Source organism: Homo sapiens, chromosome X (assembly GCF_000001405.40).
Source record: "Homo sapiens chromosome X, GRCh38.p14 Primary Assembly".
In the NCBI taxonomy this organism is placed as follows: domain Eukaryota; kingdom Metazoa; phylum Chordata; class Mammalia; order Primates; family Hominidae; genus Homo; species Homo sapiens.
In genome coordinates this window covers 2,634,519-2,657,490 of record NC_000023.11, presented here as the reverse complement: position 1 = coordinate 2,657,490, position 22,972 = coordinate 2,634,519, and the positions used below count along the sequence as shown (strand labels likewise).

The 22,972-nt window shown below is 46.1% G+C and overlaps 1 pseudogene across 2 annotated transcripts in view; it reads right to left on the bottom strand.

Moving 5' to 3' along the window:
- Window positions 1–261: 261 nt before the first annotated feature.
- CD99P1 (CD99 molecule pseudogene 1) overlaps window positions 262–22,972 on the bottom strand; it is a 47,965-nt pseudogene continuing 25,254 nt past the window's right edge. The window contains exon 9 of one of the 2 annotated variants that reach the window (NR_033380.1): window positions 262–2,464. The product of NR_033380.1 is annotated as a CD99 molecule pseudogene 1, transcript variant 1 (transcript). Of the gene's footprint in view, window positions 2,465–19,161; window positions 19,518–22,972 lie in introns of those variants that run through there. The other variant, NR_033381.1, reaches the window with a different exon arrangement.

The following is a 22,972-nucleotide window of genomic DNA, read 5'->3' as shown; positions in this document are numbered from 1 at the left end:
ATTATTATTATTATTGAGACAGAGTCTTGCTCTGTCACCCAGACTGGAGTGCTGTGGCACCATCTCGGCCCACTGCAACCTCCACCTCTCGGGTTCAAGCGATTCTCCTGTCTCAGCCTCCCGAGTAGCTGGGACTACAGGTGCGTGCCACCACACCCGGCTAATTTTTGTATTTTTAGTAGAGACGGGGTTTCACCATATTGGCCAGGCTGGTCTCGAACTCCTGACCTCATGATCCACCTGCCTCAGCCTCCTAATTTTCATTATATTTTTAATCAATAAACAATAATTGCATATGTCTCTGGGGTGCAATGTGATGTTTCTCTGTATCTTTCCTGTTGGATTCATCCTCAGCATCAGTGCAAAACCCATCATGTTTGCAGACACTTGGTTTGAAGAGATCCAACGTTCAATGGAAACGTCTATCGGACAATGAGTGAATGGCTGTGCCTTCCATATAAAAGCACGATAATGATGTGTTCTGAGTGGAGGCATGCCTCCGTGATTTTACTCCTCTCTCAGCTCGGCTGGGACTCAGATTCTTTCAGATTTACGTCTCTCTGGATTAAAAAAAAAAAAGCTGGGACCCAGATTCTCAGAGTTAAGTATAGTCTTTCTGCAAGAGGCTCTTTGTCCACATCAACAGTGAGATAATTTGCTGTCTCAGAACTGCTAGACCAGCTGAACTTTCCTTGTTTGCTTTCTTGTTAGAGTACCCATGAAAAGGCAGATTGGAGATAAAATTGATTCAAGAGAGGCCATGGATAAGAGATGTTTTGTCTCCAGTTGCATCAGAATCACAAAATATTGCAGGGGAAGGTACACAGAAGACATTTCTGTAGGTTATTCTGTGCTGAAAATGATTATGAATGACATTTGTCACTGTGGTTCATGCATATTCTTTCTGGTATGTCAACAGCAATGTGAAACCCACGAACACGGTCAACATCGTAGAGACTGGGATGCGAAGAAGGGCACAGGAGAGCACAGTGCCTTTGGAAAGCTCCCAGGTCCAATATCAACTCTACATTCCTTCAGCCTGTCTCTCTCCGATGTATCCCTCTTGTCAAGAGAGGGAAATGCAGTTAGACAGAGTCCATTTAATGTTTGCTGAGTGAGTGAAAGAATGAATGCATGATGAGTTCTTGTCTGTGGCCACGTGCCTCTCTGCCAAAGTCTATTTCTTCAAACTTAATTTCTGTCTGAACATCTCTATTCATGCTCCCTGCGGCTTTGGTATTTCAGCAAAAATCCTCCCTGGGTTCTGACTCCAGGAGACATAAACCACTCAAGTGGTCTTTAGAAATCCTTCAATGAATTTTTAAAAATTATTTGTAGAGACAGGGTCTGGCTATGTTGCCCAGGCTGGTCTCAAACTCCTGAGGCTCAAGTGCTCCTTCTACCTTGGCCTCCAAAGGTGCTGGGGTTACAGTTGTGAGCCACTGCACCTGGCTCCAATTCTGTCTTCCAGATTTACCCTCACTGATGATCCAGTCACCTGCTCACTCTCCTCTTTGGGTCATGAGAGCTGGTGACTATGCAGCCAACAGGGTACCTTCTGCAGACTTCAACAGAGTCCTGCCCTTCCATTTACATTTAACCTCATTGTTTATGGGTGGCCCCCAGGAACTCTCAGAAACAACAGTTAGAGTGGGGGGGTCCTAAGGGGAGTGGGGTGAAGTTAGACCTGAGCTTCTGAGTTATCCTTCCTCTCTTCTCCTCCGTCCCCTGCTTCTCTCACATTCCTCTCACCTTCTCTATCTCTTGACCCCCGTCCCTTCTCTCAATTCCTCTTTTTTCTCAAGCTCTGAGAATGTTCTGGCATCTTCCACCATGCAGAGAGTATGGTAGGAGGTTAGGAATTAATGGCTCTGGAACCAATGTCTCCTTCAGGTGACATGTACTTTCAATCAGCATCTCCAAGTCTGTTCATGTTCCTATGACATCAGAGAGGGAAGCAAGATTATCTGGTGACCAGCCAGTCTCCCCCTCCTCTGGGAGATGTCCAGCCTCTGCGTCCTCTCTTCTGTCTGCACCCAGGGGACCAGGTATTTGGAAGCCACACACAGAGACTCAGCTTTAGGGGGCTGGCTCCCCATCTCAAAGACATCTGGTAGCTGAGGCTGGTTGACCCATCCAATCAGTGATCTTTCAGTTGGTAGGTTTTTTGGTGGGGAAAGCGACTAACCCTATGAAGAAAAAGCACCAGATCCCCATGCTTTTCAGTCTCTCGTTCCTGACTCAGACCAGGGAACCGATCTCTGGGGGACTTTGAGCTGGGAGGAGCTGACAACGGCTGCTATTGATTTGGGGCTGAGACTTCTCCCAGTTTCTGACGAGTTTGGAACTTGTTGACTTCGGGTAGGTCCAAAGGCAATGAATGTAAGGGCTGTTTAGGCTTCTGTAGGGGGTCTTGGAGAGGTGCCTGGGGCTTTTGGTCAGGGGTGATTCCCAGGAGATGCTTCTAGGGGAAAAGGGAGAAGCAAGAACCTATAGATGGTTGTACGGCTCTGGGGACTGAGAGGTGAACTGGACAAAATGAAGATAGCAGGAGTCACTGGGCCAGCAGGTGGAGGTCAACGTCCACAAAGCAAACAGCCTTCACCAGGCGTGCTGCCAATTAAAGGGACAGCTTTGTGGAGCTCCAGAAGCATGTTGGTCTGCCACACTCCTGTCTTCTCCACTGAGATTTCTGTGGGGAAGCATGTTGTTGTGGAAAAATACCCATAACATTAATTTCATCATTTAACCTTTTCATTTGTGTACATATGTATTTATTTGTTTTAGAGATGGGGGTCTCCCTCTGTCACCCAGGCTGCAGTGCAGTGACAGAAACACCTCTCACTGCAGCCTTGACCTCCTGGGCTCAAGTGATCCTCCCACCTCAGCCTCCAGAGGAGACGGGACTACAAGCACACGCCACCGTGCCCAGCTGATTTTTTAAAATTTTTTGGTAGAGACTGGATCTGTGTTGCCCACTCTGGTCTTCAACTCCTAGGCTCAAGCAATCCTCCCACCTTGGCCTCGCAAAGAGTTGAGATTAAAAGGTGTGAGCCACTGCACCCAGCCTGTTTTCATCTTTTTTTTTTTTTTTTTTCTTTTTGAAACGGAGTCTCATTCTGTCGCCCAGGCTGGAGTGCAGTGGCGCAATCTCAGCTCACTGCAACCTTCGCCTCCCGGGTTCAAGCGATTCTTCTGCCTCAGCCTCCTGAGTAGCTAGCAATACAGGCATGCGCCACCAGAGCCAACTAATTTTTGTATTTTTAGTAGAGACGGGGTTTCACCATGTTGGCCAGACTGGTCTCGAACTCCTGACCTCATGATCCGCCTGCCTCGGCCTCCCAAAGTGCTGGGATTACAGGCGTGAGCCGCCGCGCCCGGCCCGTTTTTACCATTTTTAAGTGAACAATTCAGGCGCATTGACTACATCCACAGTGTTATGCCACCATCACTGCTATCTAGTTCCAGAACCCTGCCATCACCGCCAAAGGAAACTTCGTACCTATCAAGTAATCACTGTTCATTTTCCCTGCCCCCAGCCCTAAGCAACCATGAGTTCAATTTCTGTCTTGATGGCTTTAACTATTCTGGACATTTTATATAAATGGACTCCTACAATATGTGACCTTTTGTGTCTCTCTTTCTGCACTTAGCATAACGTCTTCAAGGTTCATTCATGTTGTAGCATGTGACTGTTTCATTCCTTTTCGTGGCTGAATAATATTCCATTGTATGGATGGAACACATGGGGTTTATCCATTTAGTATTAGATGGACATCGGACTGTTTTCACCTTTTGGCATTTTGGATATTGCTACATACATTTGTGTACAAATTTCTGTTTACACATTTGTTTTCAGTATCTTTAGGTATTAGGTAGAAGTAGGATTGCTACATCACTTGGTAATTCTGTGTTTAATTTTCTGAAGAGCCATAAAACTGCCTTCCATAGTGGCTACACCACTTTAACTTCCCACCAGCAAAGTAGGAGAATTCTAATGTTTCCACATCCTTGCCAATAATGATTCCTTTCCTTCTTTGTAAAAACAGTTATCAGAATTCTAGTGATGCTTTGAGGATTTAAACATTGCTCAGGCCTGGCACAGTGGCTCACGCCTGTAATCCCAACAACTTTGGGAGGCCGCATGGGTGGATCACCTGAGGTCAGGAGTTCAAGACCACCCTGGCCAACATGTGAAACCCCGTCTCTACTAAAAACACAAAAAATTACCCGAGTGTGGTGTCACATGCCTGTAATCCCAGCTACTTGGGAGGCTGAGGTGGGAGAATCACTTGAACCTCGGAGGCGGAGGTTGCAATGAGCCAAGATCGCACCATTGCACCCAGCCTGGGCGACAAGAGTGAAACTCCATCTCAAAAGCAAACAAACAAAAACATCGTTCAGAACTCTGGTTCTGTGCATTCAGGGGTATGGGAAACAAAGGCTCAGGTTGTCTTATTTGTAGTCCCATTATAAGAACTGAAAATACAGAACTGTGGACAGGTAGTCAAACATATTTTTCTATCTTGGTAATCTGAAATCTAAACCACTTGAAGGGCACAAACAGAATCTGCTGTCCTGGGTTTGCACAGTTAACTCTGCAGAAAAGCTATTTTGAACACAAGAAAGAGTCCATAGTCACAGACCCCACAGTTAGCAATTTGCTTATTATGCCTTTTATTTATGTATTCATTTATTTTATTTATTTATTTTTTTGAGATGGAGTTGCCCTCTTGTTGCCCAGGCTGGAGTGCAATGGTACGATCTCTGCTCACCGCAACCTCTGCCTCCCTGGTTCAAGCGATTCTCCTGTCTCAGCCTCCTGAGTAGCTGGGATTACAGGCATGTACCACCACGCCCAGCTAATTTTGTATTTTTAGTAGAGATGGGGTTTCTCCATGTTGGTCAGGCTGGTCTCGAACTCCCGACCTCAGGTGATCCGCCTGCCTTGGCCTCCCAAAGTGCTGGGATTACAGGTGTGAGCCACCGTGCCCAGCCTTATCAGCCTTTTATAATCAACTCAATGGGTGGTGCATCCATCACAAATGAAGTAAAGTGGGAGAGGCCAACAGCGAGGATATGTCTGTGCCATCATTATCCATCTGCATTATGTGACCTCCCACAGCAGGCACCAGGGGGGAAAAGAACACACACACGGACCCCCAAACACTGTAGTCTCCTTCTCCCTCTGCTGCCCCCTGGACCAGCAAGAGGAAAATACACCTTGTTGTCCACCAGAGATGAAAAAGGATCCCCAGCCAGGTGCGGTGGCTCACGCCTGTCACCCCAGAACTTTGGGAGGCTGAGGCAGGTGGATCGCTTGAAGTCAGGAGTTCAAGACCAGCCTGGCCCACATGGTGAAACCCCATCTCTACTAAAAATACAAAAATTAGCCGGGCATGGTGGCGGGCGCCTGTAATCCCAGCTACTCGGGAGGCTGAGGCAGGAGAATGACCTGAACCCGGGAGGCGGAGGTGGCAGTGAGCCAAGATCGCACCACTGCACTCCAGCCTGGGCGAGAGAGTTAGACTCCACCTCAAAACAAAAAGACAGAGAGAAAGAAGATGAGGGAGGGGGTGTGGCAGGAGTTTCCTTGAGGAGACCAGCACCATTAGTTTGTTCTCACATTGCTATAAAGAAATAACTAAGACTGGATAATTTATAAAGAAAAAAGACTCCATCTCAAAGAAAAAAAAAATGAGAAAAACCCCAAAGCTTCAGGAGACCCAGGGTATGAAACCACAGATCCACTGGGCAAGGAAGATGATGCCTCAGTATCCCAATTCTTCAGATGTTCTTCTTCTTCTTCTTCTTCTTCCTTTCTTCTTTTTTTTTTTTTTTTTTTTTTTGTTTGAGACGTAGTCTTGCTCTGTCGCCCAGGCTGGAGTGCAGTGGCATGATCTCAGCTCACTGCAACCTCCACCTCCGGGATTCAAGCGAATCTCCTGCCTCAGCCTCCCGAGTACCTGGGATTACAGGCGTGCACCACCATGGCCAGCTAATTTTTGTATTTTTAGTAGAGACGGGGTTTCACCATGTTGGCCAGGATGGTCTCAATCTCCTGACTGATCTGCCTGCCTCGGCCTCCAAAAGTACTGGGATTACAGGCGTGAGACCTGCACCCAGCCCAGACCTTCTTCTTATCAGTCACCAACTGAGCTTTCCCTGGGACCACTTCAAAAATCAGCTGTTCATGAGCCCCGGTGCCAAATGCCCGGCTTCTAAGAGATACATGAAAACCCTGATTCCTCTTTTCATGGGGAAGACGTCTCTGTCCACCCAGTGGACAGCACAAACAGCTCCTAGCACCAGAATGGCAGCGCAAGGGTAAGAGCGTGCCCAGTGGGGAGGCGGGAATGTATATACGTGCTTCCAGACAGGATGTACAAGACAAAGAATTTGAATGACTTTTTGAAACAGTCATACGGTCGCCTGTGCCAAGCCAATTCCCACTCAGGAGACAGCACTTACTCAGTGTGCTGGAACAAGCATCCCCCTGTGTGAGGAAGTGACTGCTGCCAGCAAGGGCAGCTCACTTGGCAGAGAGGAGAGGCTGGAATGAAGACTAAAGGCATTTTCAGGGTGTGGGCTCCCATCAGTGACTTCTAGAGAGGAACCCTGAACCCAGTCTGGGGTCTGGAGTGGGGGCCAAAGGGACAGAGGGGAGGCAAGAAGGGGCTCCCTGGGAGACTTGATAGATGACAGAGAACCACAGACACAGAAAAGGCAAAGCCCTGAAGCCACCATTTGAAAATCAAGGTTAGGGAGACCCAACGCAGGAGAGGATTTGGTAAAGGTCACCCAGGACAGGAGGCAGGCAGGGCTCCCTGATCAGAGCTCTCTACACCTGCATTTCTCTTTGTCCTGGTCACCAGGAGAGAGAAAAAGAGGGCCTCTGCCTGACTCAAATGAAAGATGTCTCCGTGGGTAAGGATTTAATTTTCCCCTGATGACCTAAGGAGAAAAATTCTCACTTGCATCCTCATAAATCTATCCTTCTCTTTGCATTCACCTTTGCATCTATCTACATATCTATCCAGCCACCCACATCCACCCATCCATCTATCCACTCATCCACCCATCCATGAACCTGTTTACTCATGCATCCATCCATCCAATCATCTACTTATCTACCTATCCATCTATCCATCCATCCATCCACCCATCCACCCATCTACTCATCCACCTTACCATCCATCCAACCATCCATCCATCCATCCATCCATCTATCCACCCACTCATTCATCTACTCATCCACCATACCACTCACCCATCCCTCCAATGATACATCCCCCATTCATTGACACATGTATTCAGTGATCCATCAGTCCCTCTATCCATCCACCCATCTATCTATCTATCCACCTTTCCACCTACACATCCACCCAAACACCTGTCCATCCATGTATGTGTCTATTCATCCATCAAACACTTATCCATCTCTCCATCCATCCACCTGTCTACCCATCCACTCAGCCATTCACTCATCCATCCATCCATCCATCCATCCATCCATCCATCCATCCAAATATCCATCCAAACACCCATCCATCCCTCCATTTTACCCACCAATTCACCATCCATTCATGCATCTATCCATTCGTCCACCTTTCCATCCATTTATCTATCCATCTATTCACCCATCCCTCCCTCCTTCTCACTTTCCCTCAGGTCCTGCATATGGACACCTAGACATGTCTAGACATCCATGTAGCCATGAGCCCACCTGTAACATCACTCATGCACAGCCTTGCCTGCTGTTTTGTAGCCAGATGATCACGACTATGGGTGGCAGAATATCAACAGCAGGGTGGGAAACCTGGGGCCACTGGAATTGGGCACATCTGTGAAAATGTCCCTGGATCTTTCCTTTGTGTCTCATTTCTTAGAGGACTCAGGGATTATAGCACTTGTGTTATTTATCAAGTTTCTCTACTGCTGGCCTCTGCTCAAGGGAGTTAGAAGAAACGGCAGGAGTGAGTCTCTGGAAAGCCCTTAACTCAGAGCCCCACACAGATGAAGATGCTGGTCTTGAGACCTCAAATAATAATTATTATGTGAAAATAGATCAAAGCAATATCTCTGACCTGCAAAATATTGAGAGGGGAAAATCACGTATTACATTTTCTAAAGATACAAACACTATTTTCCATTAGGCAAAACAGTCTAGAAAGCAAGGCGAAGTCTGAAGTCGACTTGAAAGAGCCAGATAAGTTGTAAGATTTATTTGCCTAAACCAGGGCCCCGGAAAACCTTGTTTATCTGTTTACACTGCTCCCCGCTATACCGGACTAGAATAATTCCCATGTACTACTTGCTGGGGGTCCAGGAAGGGAAACTGAAACTGATTCACCCCTAGGATATCAGGGCCATAATCTAGTTACAAGCATAGACTTTGAGGACAAATGTCTTGATATTTGAATTTCACTTCTGCTGTTTATTAGCAGTGCATTAGCTGAACATGTCACCAATCTGATCTTCAAGTTTCTGACTTGTAGAATGACAGCGATCATTCTTACTATAAGGTTTGGTGCAGATTTTCTGAAAGTGCTTGCAAAGCACCTGCCATGTAGAGAGGGCTCCATCAAACAGTATGGATGTTGTTATAAATTTCATTCCTGCCCCTAAAGAGGGAATTCTTGACAAGACATCCCCAGCCCCTGACTTGTGGATTGAGCCTGCTGATGTTCAGTCAGTGGTGGGAAATGAGACCTGCTAATGGGACCCTGTACCGCACCACGGTGCTGAACTGTTGGGAAGATAAAGCAAGAAGTCAGATAAAGTCTGGTAAGCCAGGTGCCTCATCATGAAAAACATCTACAAGGAGCTCTCACATACCTGGAACTAAATTCTGAACCTATGCATGAGTTGAAAAGAAAAACAGGCTGGATGCGGTGGCTCACACCTGTAATCCCAGCACTTTGGGAGGCTGATGTGAGTGGATCACAAGGTCAGGAGTTCAAGACCAGCCTTGGCCAAGATGCTGAAACCCCATCTCTACTAAAAATACAAAAATTAGCTGGGCATGGTGGTGGGCACCTGTAATCCTAGCTACTCAGGAGGCTGAGGCAGGGAACTGCTTGAACCCGGGAGACGGAGGTTGCAGTGAGCCAAGATTGTGCCACTGCACTCCAGCCTGGGCGACAGAGTGAGAATCCATCTCAAAGCAAACAAACAAAAACATGCTAGTGGAGATAACTGCATGCTCCCTGCACCCATAAAAATAAGCTATACCAGCTCATGTTTGCCCATATTTGCGCAGAAACAACAGACCTTGTTGGATCATTTAAAATGTTGCTAAGATTTCTGCATGATTTCTTCAGCCATGTAGCATTTTTTTTTCTTGGTTAGCATGTTTTCATTGGTTTTCTTTTTTAGCATTTTGAATTTATCAGCCTACTGCCTTCCGACTTCCAAAGTTTCCAATGAGAAGTCTGATGATAATCTTCTTTAGGATCCCTGGGATGGGATCAGTCACTTCTGTCTTGTGGCTTTTACTGTGCTTCAGGGTGGACTTCTGACTTCATCCTACCTGAAGTTTGCTGCCTTTCTTGGATGTTTATTTCAAATAGTTGCACTGACAGGTCTAAGAATTTCCCCTGTACCGGTGAGTGAAATGGATGAGCATGCCCACGAGAGGTCTCAGATTTTCCAACCACCCATGTGTGGGTTGTGTTCAATTTCCTCCTCCTACAACCACTTTCCTTCTTAATGAAAATGCCTGGGTCACTTCACAATGTAATCACATGACCGAATCTGGTCACACATCCTATGCTTGGCACCTGTCACATCTACTTTGCCCCCAGCCTTTGGGGTCCCTACTCCTGAGGTCCTGAACATTCATAGAGAACAGATCTCATTAAGCACAGGAGAGGGGCAGAAAGAATTTGCAAGATTAAGTGGGCCAAGTCTTGTAACACCAGTTGTAGGTAGAAGCAATAGCAGGCTCCAAAGATATCCATGTCCTGATTCCCAGAACCTGTGCAAGGGAAATGAAGGTTGCAGATGGAATGAAAGTTGCTGATCAGCTGAGCTTGAGATGAGAAGACATTACTGGATTACCCAGGTAGGACCAATGTTATCACATGGGTCTTTATCATGGAAAGAGGGAAGCAAGAGGGTCAGAGTTAGAGAGAGATTGGAAGATGCTACACTGCTGGCTTTGAAGATGGAGGGAGCAGCTACATAATAAGGCGTGTAGGCAGCCTCTAGAAGCTGGAAATGTCAAGCAAACCGTTTCTCTCCTAGAGCCTCCAGAAGGAAGCCAGCCCTGCTGACACCTTGATGGGAGCCCCAGGAAACTAATTTCAGACTTCTTACCTCCAGAACTGTAAGCAAAGAAATGTGCATTGTTTTAAGCTGCAAAGTCTGTGATGCTTTGTCCTAGAAGCAAGAGGAAACTGTTCTAACCTCCTTCGGCAGTTGAAGGAAATCAAGTCAACAGCAACTGAAGTCATTAGAGTGAGGTCTCAGATTCCCATGTGGGATTTTTTTCCTTGCTCTTGGTTTTGCTCAAGACCTAGGATCTGATTTTGGCTGGTGCAAAAGCCACCAAAGTTACTGAGATTTGGGGGAATGGGATTCAGGGCCGAGTGGGGACATAAGAAGCCCAGAGCAGAAGCTGAAGAGCCAACAGACGTCAATTTAAAACACAGCACATTCTTAGCATCGGGCGATGTGTCTGCAACTAACTGATCGGATGGTGTGTGTTTTCTGTGTCTTTTTCAATATGTTAAAGGCAAAATCACAATAGTGAGTAAGGGTGACCGCACAGCAAAACTGTTCTTCTAGACTCATCTTGCACCATAGTGGCAGCTGAAGGAATTGTGCACCACGATGCACCCCTGTGGTCAGGAAAGGCTTCTAGGATGCCTGGGAGCTGAACGAGGTGGTAAATGATGGTGTTGGAGCTGGAGAGAAGTACAGGGTAGGCATTCCAGGTGACAGGAAGGAAATAAGGAAGCCAAGCAGTGTAGTGGTGAGAAGAAGCACAGGTTCACCCATGTGTGTGGACCGCTGCTTCTTCATACCCAGGAACCCAGCCAGTCCTGGAGATGCACAGATGAGCAAACCATGGCCAGACACTCACTCCCATGTTGCTTAGCGTCTAACGAGGAAAGCGGATATTTAAACAAAATTGCCCACAGGATATAAAAGTAGTGCCGTGGTCAGAGCCGCAGTAAGGAGGTGAGGCTTCTAGATGCTTATAACATGGTCAGCTTGGGTCAGGCAGGGACACAGATATATGAACTTTTTTATTTTTTTTTAAATTTTTTTGAGACAGAGTCTCGCTCTGTCGCCTAGGCTGGAGTGCAGTGGCGCAATCTCCATTCACTGCAACCTCCGCCTCCCAGGTTCAAGTGATTCTCCTGCCTCAGCCTCCTGAGTAGCTGGGACCACAGGCACATGCCACCACATTCAGCTATTTTTTTTGTATTTTTAGTAGAGATGGGGTTTCACCGTGCTAGCCAGGATGGTCTCAATCTCCTGACCCCGTGATCCGCCCGCCTCGGCCTCGCAAAGTGCTGGGATTACAGGAGTGAGCCACTGCACCCGGCCACAGATGTGAACTTTTAAGGGCAAGTGACCATGGAGCTAACAGTGGAGCTGACAATTGAAGTATGAAGACAGCACAAGGTAGAGGCAGAAAGTTTTGTGTAGCAAGTGTGGTACGTGCAAAGGGCCTGTGGTCGATGGAACCGAGGATCCTGTGGGGCTCAGTGAGGAGGGAAAGAGGAGCTCAGGTATGGCGTGCCATGGAGGGGAACACAGTGAGGCCACAGTCAGTCCTCAACCTTGAAAATGGCCCTTTGACTGTCCTCAGGGTCTAGCCTTGCTTGCCATGTTCATTGGGTCTAGCACCCTCTGCTTGCTCCCAGACAGCTTTCTCCTGCCTCCCAGCTCTGCATCTCTCAGATCCTGGCTCTGATCCCACGCTGCTGTTGCTTCCACTCATGTACCCATTGCTAACGGCATCATTTCTTGGAGTAATTCATTGCAAAGTTCATTTCCCACGATAAACGCAGTCTGTGCTCATTACAGTCAACAGGGTGGCCCAAAAGAGTTCAGTTAAGGGAAAAAAAAATCAAATTTTCCCTTGAAAAGAAGCCAGTGATATGGCTTGGGTCCATCTTCCTGAGGTTTGAAAACTTCTCTGTTAGTGTTAGTTGCTTTTAGGCCTGGTCCTGCTGCATATACAATGTGTATCTTTCTCTCTCTCTTTTTTTTTTTTTTTTTCTTTTTTGAGATGGAGTCTCGCTCTGTCAGCCAGGCTGGAGTGCAGTGGCGTGATCTCGGCTCACTGCAACTTCCGCCTCCCAAGTTTAAGCGATTCTCGTGCCTCAGCCTCCCAAGTAGCTGGGATTACAGGTGTGTGCCACCACGCCCAGCTAGTTGTTGTTTTAAGACTGAGTCTCACTCCAGCCCGGGCTGGAGTGCAGTGGTGTGATCTTGGCTCACTGTAACCTCCACCTTCTGGGTTCAAGCAATTCTCCTGTCTCAGCTTCCCGAGTAACTGGGATTACAGGCACCCGCCACCACACCCGGCTAATTTTTGTATTTTTGGTAGAGACGGGGTTTCACTATGTTGGCCAGGCTGGTCTCGAACTCCTGACCTCAGATGATCCACCCACCTCGGCCTCCCAAAGTGCTGGGATTACAGGCAGGAGCCACTGTGCCCGGCCTATCTTTCTCTTTATATGTAGACGGTGCCCTCTCCTGGTGGGAGGCTCTCAGTGCCTGGCTCCAAATCCATGACCCTAGAGGTGGAGGGGTCCCCAGCTGCCCCACTTACTTCTCCCAAGCTGGTGCCCTTGGGAATCACCAACTTCTTGTGACCACCTGTTCTAGCTACTTGGTTCACTTTGACCCAGCCCCTCAGGGGTGACACCCTCCCTCATCAGGCTCCCAGATCCCATCAGGTGTTCAAACCCTATGTGGCAGGTACAATCCTGGTCCCCAGAGATGCCCACATCCTAATTCTTAGAACTTGTGAACTTTTAGGACAAAGAGGAATTTGCAGATAGGATTCAGGTAAGGTTCTTAAGATGGGGACATTTTTTGAATGATCTATGGAATCACAGTGGGGTCCCAGGGCTTTTATAAGGAGAGGAAGGGAGATATTTAACCGCAGAAAAAAGGGATGTGAGGATGGAAGCAGAGGTCGGAGTCATGTGCTTTGAAGATGGGGTAACGGCTAATGAGCCAAGGATGGCAGGTGGCTTGTAAAAACTAGAAAAAGTAAGAAATGAATTCTCTCCTAGAGATTCTGGAGAGACTGCAAGCCTCCCAACACCTTGATTTTAAAATAGTGAAATCCATTTCAGACTCCTGACCTACAGAAATGTAAGAAAATAAACATGTGTTGTTTTCAGTGTTGGCAGCTGACAAGTAATGAACACACTTCCTCAATTCATCCTTCTTCCTCCGCCCACTCAGGAATAAAGCTCCCTCTCTTCAAAATGGCATTTGTCTGCAGTATATGAGGAGTGTGAATACAGGTGTCATGATGTATATTTTTGTGTTTTTCTTGTTGTTTTTTTAGAGATGGGGTCTCACTATGTTGCCCAGGCTGGACTTGAATTCCTGGTCTCAAGCAATCCTCCTGCATTAACCTCCCAAAGTGCTAGGATTACAGGGATGAGCAACTGTGCTCAACCCGTATCTTTTTTGTTTTGTTTTTTTGTTTTTGAGACAGAGTCTCATTCTATCGCCCAGGCTGGAGTGCAATGGCACGACCTCAGCTCACTGCAACCTATGCCTCCTGGTTCAAGCAATTTTCCTGCTTCAGCCTCCCAAGTAGCTAGGATTACAGGTGCCCACCAGCCTGCCCAGCCAATTTTTGTATTTTTAGTAGAGACGGAGTTTCACCATGTTGCCCAGGCTGATCTCAAACTCCTGGTCTCAGGTGATCCTCCTCTCTCAGCCTCTTGAGTAACTGGGGTTGCTGACATAAGCCACTGCACCTGGCCTTTGAATCCTTTCAAGAATTAAGTCAATGGTCTGTTTCCTCAATTCTACTCACTTATTTCCCCACAGCCCTTCTCCTCCTCTTTCCCTTTTTCCACTTCCCACATGCTTCATGCCTCACACACCCTTCCTATGAGTCTCAGCATCCATGCATCCTTGCACCAAAGCGTGAGAGACACGGGGTCAGTCTTGGATGGAGAAGGAGCTCCCTTCTACACTTTCCTGAGCTCCTGGAGCTGATGTTACCGGTGCCCCATCCTCCCTTTGAATCATCTTCGCCTTCTGCCATCCCTCCCATGAAGGTCGGCCCCACCTCAAGCTATCCCCTCATATCCCTGACCTTTGCTACCATTTCTGTGCCCCCCTCCAGCCCTGTGCTCACTGCTTCTCATGCTCTATACCTGCAGTCTTTGACCGCTGCCCTTGAATTGCTGGGTTTGCTCTTTCCTGTGATCCGAAAAAGCTGAAGCACAGGGGTTTTCCTTCCTCCTCTTTGCTGTGGCGTGAACCCCCACTCCCTTGCCACGCAGGCCTGGAGGGTCTGCCCAAGTAAACCACTAGCATGATTGCATGCCAGAGTTGCATATTGTTGTGAGTCATAAAAAGATATGTGCGGCAGGCACAGTGGCTCACGTCTGTAATCCCACCACTTTGCGAGGCTGAGGCGGGCGGATCACAAGGTCAGGAGTTCGAGACCAGCCTGAGCAACATGGCAAAACCCTGTCTCTGCTAAAAATACAAAAATTAGCCAGGTGTGGTGGTGGACGCCTGTAATCCCAACTACTCAGGAGGCTGAGGCAAGAGAATCGCTTGAACCCAGGAGGTGGAGGTTTCAGTGAGCTGAAATCGTGCCATTGCACTCCAGCCTGGGTGACAGAGTGAGAGTCTGTCTCAAAAAAAGAAAAAAAAGATGTGCATGTCCTCACCCTCAAAATGTAGAAACAGGATCTTATTTAGAAATAGGTTCCTTGCAGACATACTTAAGTGAAGGATCTTGAGATGAGATCATCCCAGATTTAGGGTGGGCCCTAAATCCAATTACTAGTGTCCTTACAAGGAGATAGAGATTTGGAGACACAGAGGAGGCGGCCACGTGGAGATGGAGGCAGGGATTGGAGTGATGTGGCCACAAGCCCAGGAACACCTGGAACCCCCAGGAGCTGGGAGAGGCAGGAAGGATCCTCCCCTAGAGCCTCCAGGGTAGCGCAGCCCTGCTCACGCCTAGATCTCAGACTTCTGGTCTTTGGAACGGTGACAACGTCAATTTTCTTTGTCTGAAGTCACCCAGTGAGTGGTGACTAGCTGTGGTAACGTGATCAATTTCTCACTTCAGAAGGCATCAGAGTGACCCCGTCTGGGTCAAGGTATCCTGAGGTCTGTGTGGCATTTCTTCTAATCATACCGGTGAATGACCAGTGTCTGAAAAGCTTCCCCAGTGTGCCCTCCCTAAGATGACAATTTCTTCCCTTGCAAAATTCTCCAGAGCATCTCTTTAGTGTGGTATCCATTGTGGCATCTCCTCTTTCCAGAATTAAGATGTTTGAGCCCAAAAATGTGATCATTACTATTAGTTGTTTTTTTTTGTTGTTTGTTTTTCTGAAACAGTCTCACTCTGTTGCCATGCTGGAGTACAGCGGCGCGAGCTCGGTTCACTGCAACCTCCACCTCCTAGGTTCAAGCGCTTCTTCTGCTTCAACCTCCTGAGTAGCTGGGACTACAGGCGCCCGCCACCACACTCGGCTAATTTTTTCTATTTTTTTTTAGTAGAGACGGGATTTTGCCATGTTGGCCAGGATGGTCTCAATCTCCTGACCCCGTGATCCACCTGCCTTGGCCTCCCAAAGTGCTAGGATTACAGGCGTGAGCTACTGCACCCGGCCAGCGTTAGGCGTTTTTAATAAATAAAATTGGAGAAGCATCATTTTAGCTACAGGATACTAAGAAAAACTTCATTCTTGAGCTGAAGAAAAAAAAAAAAATACCTGGCTGGGCATGGTGGCTCAGGCCTGTAATCCCAGCACTTTTGGAGGCTGAGGCAGGCGGATCACCTGAGGTCAGTGGTTCAAGACCAGCCTGGCCGACACGGTGAAGCCCCGTCTCTACAAAAATATAATTAGTCAGGCATGATGGCAGGTGCCTGTAATCTCAGCTATTCAGGAGGCTGAGGCAGGAGAATCACTTGAACCCGGGAGGCAGAGGTTACAGTGAGCCGAGATCGTGCCACTGCACTCCAGTCTGAGGGACAGAGCGAGTCTCTATCTCAAAAACAAAACAAAACAAAACTCTTGACACTAGAACAATTGTGTTGTCAAGTAAATTAGAGGATGCTGGGACAGTGACATTCTTTCCCTCTCTCCTGGACCCTGGCAGTAAAGCACTAGAGGGGTTCACATGCACCTGAATCATGGGAAAGGTGACCCAGGGGCCGCTTTTTCACCCAAGGACATTTCCAGCCTCACAATGGCACTGTGGTTAGAACTTCATCAACAAGAGACACGCGTAACACCAAGGAATGTGGCACAATTCAGCAGTCCCGAATACAGCGGCATGAATGGTGCCTTCTAAGAGCATTCAGAGCAGCTAACGAGCAAGAGATGACGGCTGGCATTTCTCAATAAACAACTGCAGTACGTTACCCTTCGTCCATCAAGCAATATTTTTCAACATCTCCTGGTGAGAAACTTAGATAAGGCCTGATGAGAACACACATGGCAGCATAGAGTACATTCTTCCATTTGCTTCTTCTAGGCAGGGATGTTTTTCCTCTTGGAACGGACCCCAGAGTTCTAGCAGAGGCCTTGTTAAGTGGGATGGAGAATTGTTGAGAAACACTGATGACCAAGGTATGCATTTTCACATTTATATTTGTTCTCTCCGGAGCTACCAGACACCCAGTGCAACAAAACCAACCCAATTCTATGGAAAGGAAGGGAAATGTATTAGCCACACGCCTGTGGGCTCCAGGAATCTTGGCTCCGTAGCTGCCTGAATTCCAAAGTAAGAGCTGCAGTTAGGACGGGCACGGTGGCTCACGCATGTAATCGCAGCACTTTGGGAGGCCGAGGGAGGCGGATCACCTGAGGTTGGGAGTTCGAGACCAGCCTGACCAACACGGAGAAACCCCATCTCTACTAAAAATATGAAATTAGCTGGGCATGGTGGTGCATGCCTGTAATCCCAGCTATTCAGGAGGCTGAAGTGGGAGAATCGCTTGAACCCAGGAGGCGGGGGTTGCGGTGAGCCGAGATCACACCATTGCACTCCAGCCTGGGTGACAAGAGCGAAACTCCATCTCAAAAAAAAAAAAAAAACAGAGTTGCAGTCACTCGAATCTTCTGTCCTTAGTTGGTTGCATGTTTCTCCAAGTTACGTGGTTCCGTAGATGTTGAGATGTTTGTGCATCCATGTCCCCTTCGACTTTGGTCCTTTGTTTCTGACAGGGGCTGTATGGTTGACTCCAATGACCAATCATCAAATTTCCATTATGCCAAAGTTGCGTGTGCACGTGTGTGTGTGTAACTCTATGTGAGTATGTACGTGTGTATGTGGGTATCTGTGTGCATGTGCATATCCCTGTGTATGTGTGTTTGTGTATATGTGTTTGTGTATGTGTGTAGGTGTAAGTATGCATGTATGTTTGGTATGTATGTACATGTGTATCTGTGTATGTATGTGTGTATGTATTTGTGTGCATGTGTGTATATCTCTGTATGTGTTTGTGTATGTGTGTGTATAGGTGTAAGTATGAATGTATGTTTGGTATGTATGAATATGCATATCTGTGTGTACGTGTGTATATCTGCAGGCTTGTGGATATGTGTGCATGCATGTGTTATGTGTGTATATGTGTATGCACATATCTGTGTATGTTTGTATGTATACCTGTGCATGTATGTTATGTATGTGTATATCTGTATGGTTTCTGTGCATAGGTATATGTGTCTATGTGTGTGTGTCCGCATACATGTGAATGTGTGTCTGTGTATGTGTCTATATTTGTGCATGTATGTGTTTATCTGTGTATACATGTGCATGTATGTATCTGTACGGATGTAACTGTGTATATGCACGTGTATGTGTGGTATATGTGAATGTGATTGTGTATACACAAGGCTTTAAAACTTAGTGCAATAGAACCTTTGTGAAGAACCATGGGGAAACAATTGTGCTTCCTATTGGTACCAGAGAGAAAGAGGAAGAACATTTTATAAAACTCTCTTTTGTTAGTTTTCATCGTATAATGGTAGGAAGAAATATGGCATGAAGGACAGTTTTGTACATGCTGCAGTAATTTCTACCCACCCAGGAGAAACCTGGGACCACATAAATCTCAAAGATAACCAAGGAAATATCTGACTCATATTTTAGACACTGACCAAAGAAGAAAACCTTAACAATTTTATAAGCTCTTCAATGCATCTCTAGTGTATATTAATGGTTTTTATGCTTATATGCCTGATAACAAAAACTATCGTAAGAGACTGCAAAAATCTCACCCTTGCAAAGAAAAATACTTCCACGAGGACATCTGCCCAAAAACTGGCTGTCCAAACTCAGACTGGTGTCACCATGTTATTGATCTTTTTAGCCAAGGATAATCATTTGAAAAGAATTATGGAATCCTCTTCATTATTTCCTTTAAAATCCTTTTTTCCCCTTTACCTCCCTGAATATGAACACAGTTTAATATGGCACATCTATTCTCAGCGCACTACTATACTCCCAAATAAACATCTTTTCTATTACAGAGTGTATTAGTCAGTCCTTACGCTGCTATAAAGAAATACCTGAGACAGGGTAATTTTATAAAGAAAAAGAGGTTTAAATTGGCTCACGGTTCCACAGGCAGTACAGGAAGCACGGCTGGGGAGGCCTCAGGAAATTTACAATCATGGCGGAAGGCAGAGGGGAAACAGGCACATCTTACATGGCCACAGCAGGAGCAGGACGGGGTGGGGAAGTTGTTGCACCCTTTAAACAACCAGATTGGATGATAACTCACTTCCGCCACAACAGCACCATGGGGGACAGTGGTAAACCATTCAATGGAAACCACCCGCATAATGCAGTCACCTCCCACCAGGCGCCACCTCCAAACCGGGGATTCCAACTCAACCTAAGATGTGGTGGGGAACCAGATCCAAACCATCTCTTTGTTGACACCAATACTTAGGTTGACACCAATACTCTGTATCTGTTTCATCCAATTTTATTCTTTTTCATAAAAGCAATGCAGTAAAGATAAAACTAAATGTGGACCCTGGGAACAAGGAGTCCAGAGGTTGCCCAAAGAGTCGCAAAGTGCATCAGGAAACCTGAATGTGAAGATCGGTGACCGAGAGCCTGATGCCAGCCTCCTCTTGGGTCTTGACTGAAATCTTCCCAGGTTGCTATTGGATTTTGCATGTACGAGCCTCCATCAGAGGATAGACTTAGGCATATGGTTTGCCCAGTGAATTGAAGAATCTCCAGAGTTTATGAATTGAAGAGTGGGATGAATACAATACACAGAGCACCGAAGCAAACACATCAGAATCGAGGCAACTCCCCTGGGAGAAAAAATGGAAACCTTGAGCTGAATAGTTCAAAACAGGTTGTCACAAACTGGGCATCTTGGGGACCTTTTACCCCCAAGAACTGGAATCTGGAAAGATCTCTGCCTGTTTACCATGATTTATTTTTCCTGGGAGGTATAAATTCCCAGTGCCCTCCCCTCTATCGTACTGTGGAGGGTATTAGCTCAGTTTTTCAATGTTTAAACAGGTAGCACCAAAAAGCGTCTTCTCAATGCTTCCCACGCTATTCCACGTGGACGTTTGGCTTACAGTTTACTTGCATTTTACCCACTTTTTATCTGTCATCTAATATGTCAATCAATTGCCTATTAATCATCTCTCTCTCAAAATATCTTCTATCATTCATATATCTATATACCCATTTCTATCATTGATCTATCTCTGTGTATATTTATCTATCCATGTCTTCATCTATCTACCCACCTACCCTGTCTATGTACCTATGTATGTATTGGCTCTATCTATATCATGTATCTAGCCATTTATTCATTTATCCACCCATCCTGTATATATATCCATATATCTATCAGGTCTAATCTATGTATCTATATATCTATCTAATCTCTATCATCTATCAATCAATCATGTATCTAGCCATTTATTCATTTACCTACCAATCAATCAATCATGTATCTAGCCATTTATTCATTTATCTACCAATCCATCAATCCATCAATCATCAATCCATCAATCAAGCCATTTATTCATTTATCTATCCACCCACCCTGTATATATCAGGTCTAATCTATGTATCTATCTATCTATGTAATATCTATCTATCTATTTATTCATTTATCTATCCACCCACCCTGTATATATCAGGTCTAAGATATGTATCTATGTATCTGTGTAATATCTATCTATCAATCATCTATCATGAATCTATCTATCTGTATCAATGTATTTGTCTGTCTGTCTACCTATCTTTATTAACTTATTGACCACAAGTAACTTGAACAAGATAAATTCACAAATTTTCTGGGAGAAAATTTCAAGTTGATTCCAGCAGGTAGCAAACATAAAAGCTGTCTTACACCAGGAAACAGGGTTAAAGACCCAAAGGAGGAAGAACTTTTTCATCCTTTGATAAACGACCAACAAGTCTGATGGGGAAGCTGTAGCTGTACCTTCAAGTGCAAAGTGACTCAGAGAACAAGGTGCAGGTTAAAGAAGAAAACTCATAAGGTCAGAGGTGGGAGAACCAACAGAGCTCGCTTAGATGGAAACTTTTTTTTTTTTTTTTTTTTTGAGACGGAGTCTTGCTCTGTCGCCCAGGCTGGAGTGCAGTGGTGCAATCTCAGCTCACTGCAACCTCTGCCTCCAGGGTTCAAGTGATTTTCCTGCCTCAGCCTACAGAGTAGCTGGGATTACAGGTACCCGCCACCACGCCTGGCTAATTTTTGTATTTTTAGTACAGATGGGGTTTCTCCATGTTGGCCAGGCTGGTCTTGAACTCCTGACCTCAAGTGATTGACCTGCTTCAGCCTCCCAAAGTGCTGGGACTGCAGGCGTAAGCCACCGTGTCCAGCCAGATGGAAACTTTTTTTTTTTTTTTTGAGATGGAGTTTTGCTCTTGTGGCCCAGGCTGGAGTGCAATAGCACGATCTCGGCTCACCGCAACCTCCGCCTCCCAGGCTCAAGCAATTCTCCTGCCTCAGCCTCCAGAGTAGTTGGGATTACAGGCATGTGGCATCACGCCCGACTAATTTTGTATTTTTAGTAGAGATGGGGTTTCTCCATGTTAGTCAGGCTGGTCTCGAACTCCTGGCCTCAGGTGATCCACCCGCCTCGGCGCCCCAAAGTGCTGGGATTACAGGCATGAGCCACCACGACTGACCAAAACTTTTAAATCATTTAAACGAGCGCCCTGTCTGCAGCCCAATGTCCTCTGCACCTTTTCATCCTTGAAGGGTGACAGCCAAAATCCCACTCTAGGCTGACGGAATGAGGAAGCTCCATGAAATCTCTGTTTTCAAGCTGTCCCTGAGTGAAATGACCTATTTCCTTGCTTTCTTCACTGGTAGAGATGACTGGGCCAGCCAAAACCCTCCGATGCCCTCAAGCCAATGCTGAATATGAATTTTACCATTTAGTTAATATATTATTTTAGTCATTTAAAAATAAAATCCGGTCAATAGCCAGACATGCTAGCCAGAAGCAAGCTAAGGCAATGTGCCGTCTCTGTTCCGTGTGTCTTGAAAGTGTGCCTTTTTTGGATAATGAAAATCTCTACAATATTTTCTTGGGCTAATGAGAAGTGTTTATTTGTATTTTTAATATGAAAGAGAACATCTTTGCCTCTGGGAAATATTTATGAGGAACATAACTAAATGGAGACTAAGCTTTCCTTTTCATTTCCCTTCTGCGTCACAGATTCTTGTGTTTCTTCCAAGCACTAATGAAATATTTAAAGCTGTTGTCAATGCAGAAATGTTCCTCCCTAACATGTTTCAATGAGCTGGAAAAAAGCGGAGAATAATTTGCTATTGTCTACATATTCATAACATAAGGATGTCAGGAGGTATTAGAGTCACTTTCGATGTGTCTGACTCCACAGCATTGGTAATATTAGAACACTTTCAGCTTTCAAGGTGTAAATTTTTCATCTCCTCCTTTTCACTTCCTTCCATTGGTATCCAGGCCCCTTGGAGAGGTGGCTGCAGGTCACGTTTTTATATTATTTGTTTTAATTGTATTTATATTTATTTATTTTTTTGAGACCGAGTCTTGCTCTGTCGCCCAGGCTGGAGTGCAATGGTGAGATCTCAGCTCACTGCAACCTCCGCCTCCCGGGTTCAAGTGATTCCCCTGCCTCAGCCTCCTGAGTAGCTGGGACTATAGGTGTGTGCCACCATGCCTGGCTAATTTTTGTTTGTTTGTTTGTTTTTGAGACGGAATCTCGTTCTGTCGCCCAGGCTGGAGTGCAGTGGAGCCATCTCAGCTCACTGCAACCTCTGGCTCCCAAGTTCGAGCAATTCTCCTGCCTTGGCCTCCTGAGTAGCTGGGATTACAGGCGCCCGCCACCACGCCCAGTTAATTTTTTGTATTTTTACTAGAGACGGGGTTTCACCATGTTGGCCAGGATGGTCTTGATCTCCTGACCTCAGGTGATCCACCTGCCTCAGTCTCCCAAAGTGCTGAGATTACAGACGTGAGCCACCACTCCCAGCTGGTCACATTTATTTTTTAGCCAGTTTCTGTGCACCAAATAAGGGACAGCCTTCTGGAAGCATTTTAAAAGGGAGGCAGTAAAAAGCTATATGAAGTTCATTCCAAGACATATCTCCCAGATTTCTCAAAGAACTAAAAAGAGAACTACCATTTAGTTCAGCAATCCCATTCCTGGATACATACATAATGGAAAATAAATTATCCTACCAAAAAGACTCCTGCACAAGCATGTTGATCACAGTACTATTCCCCATAGC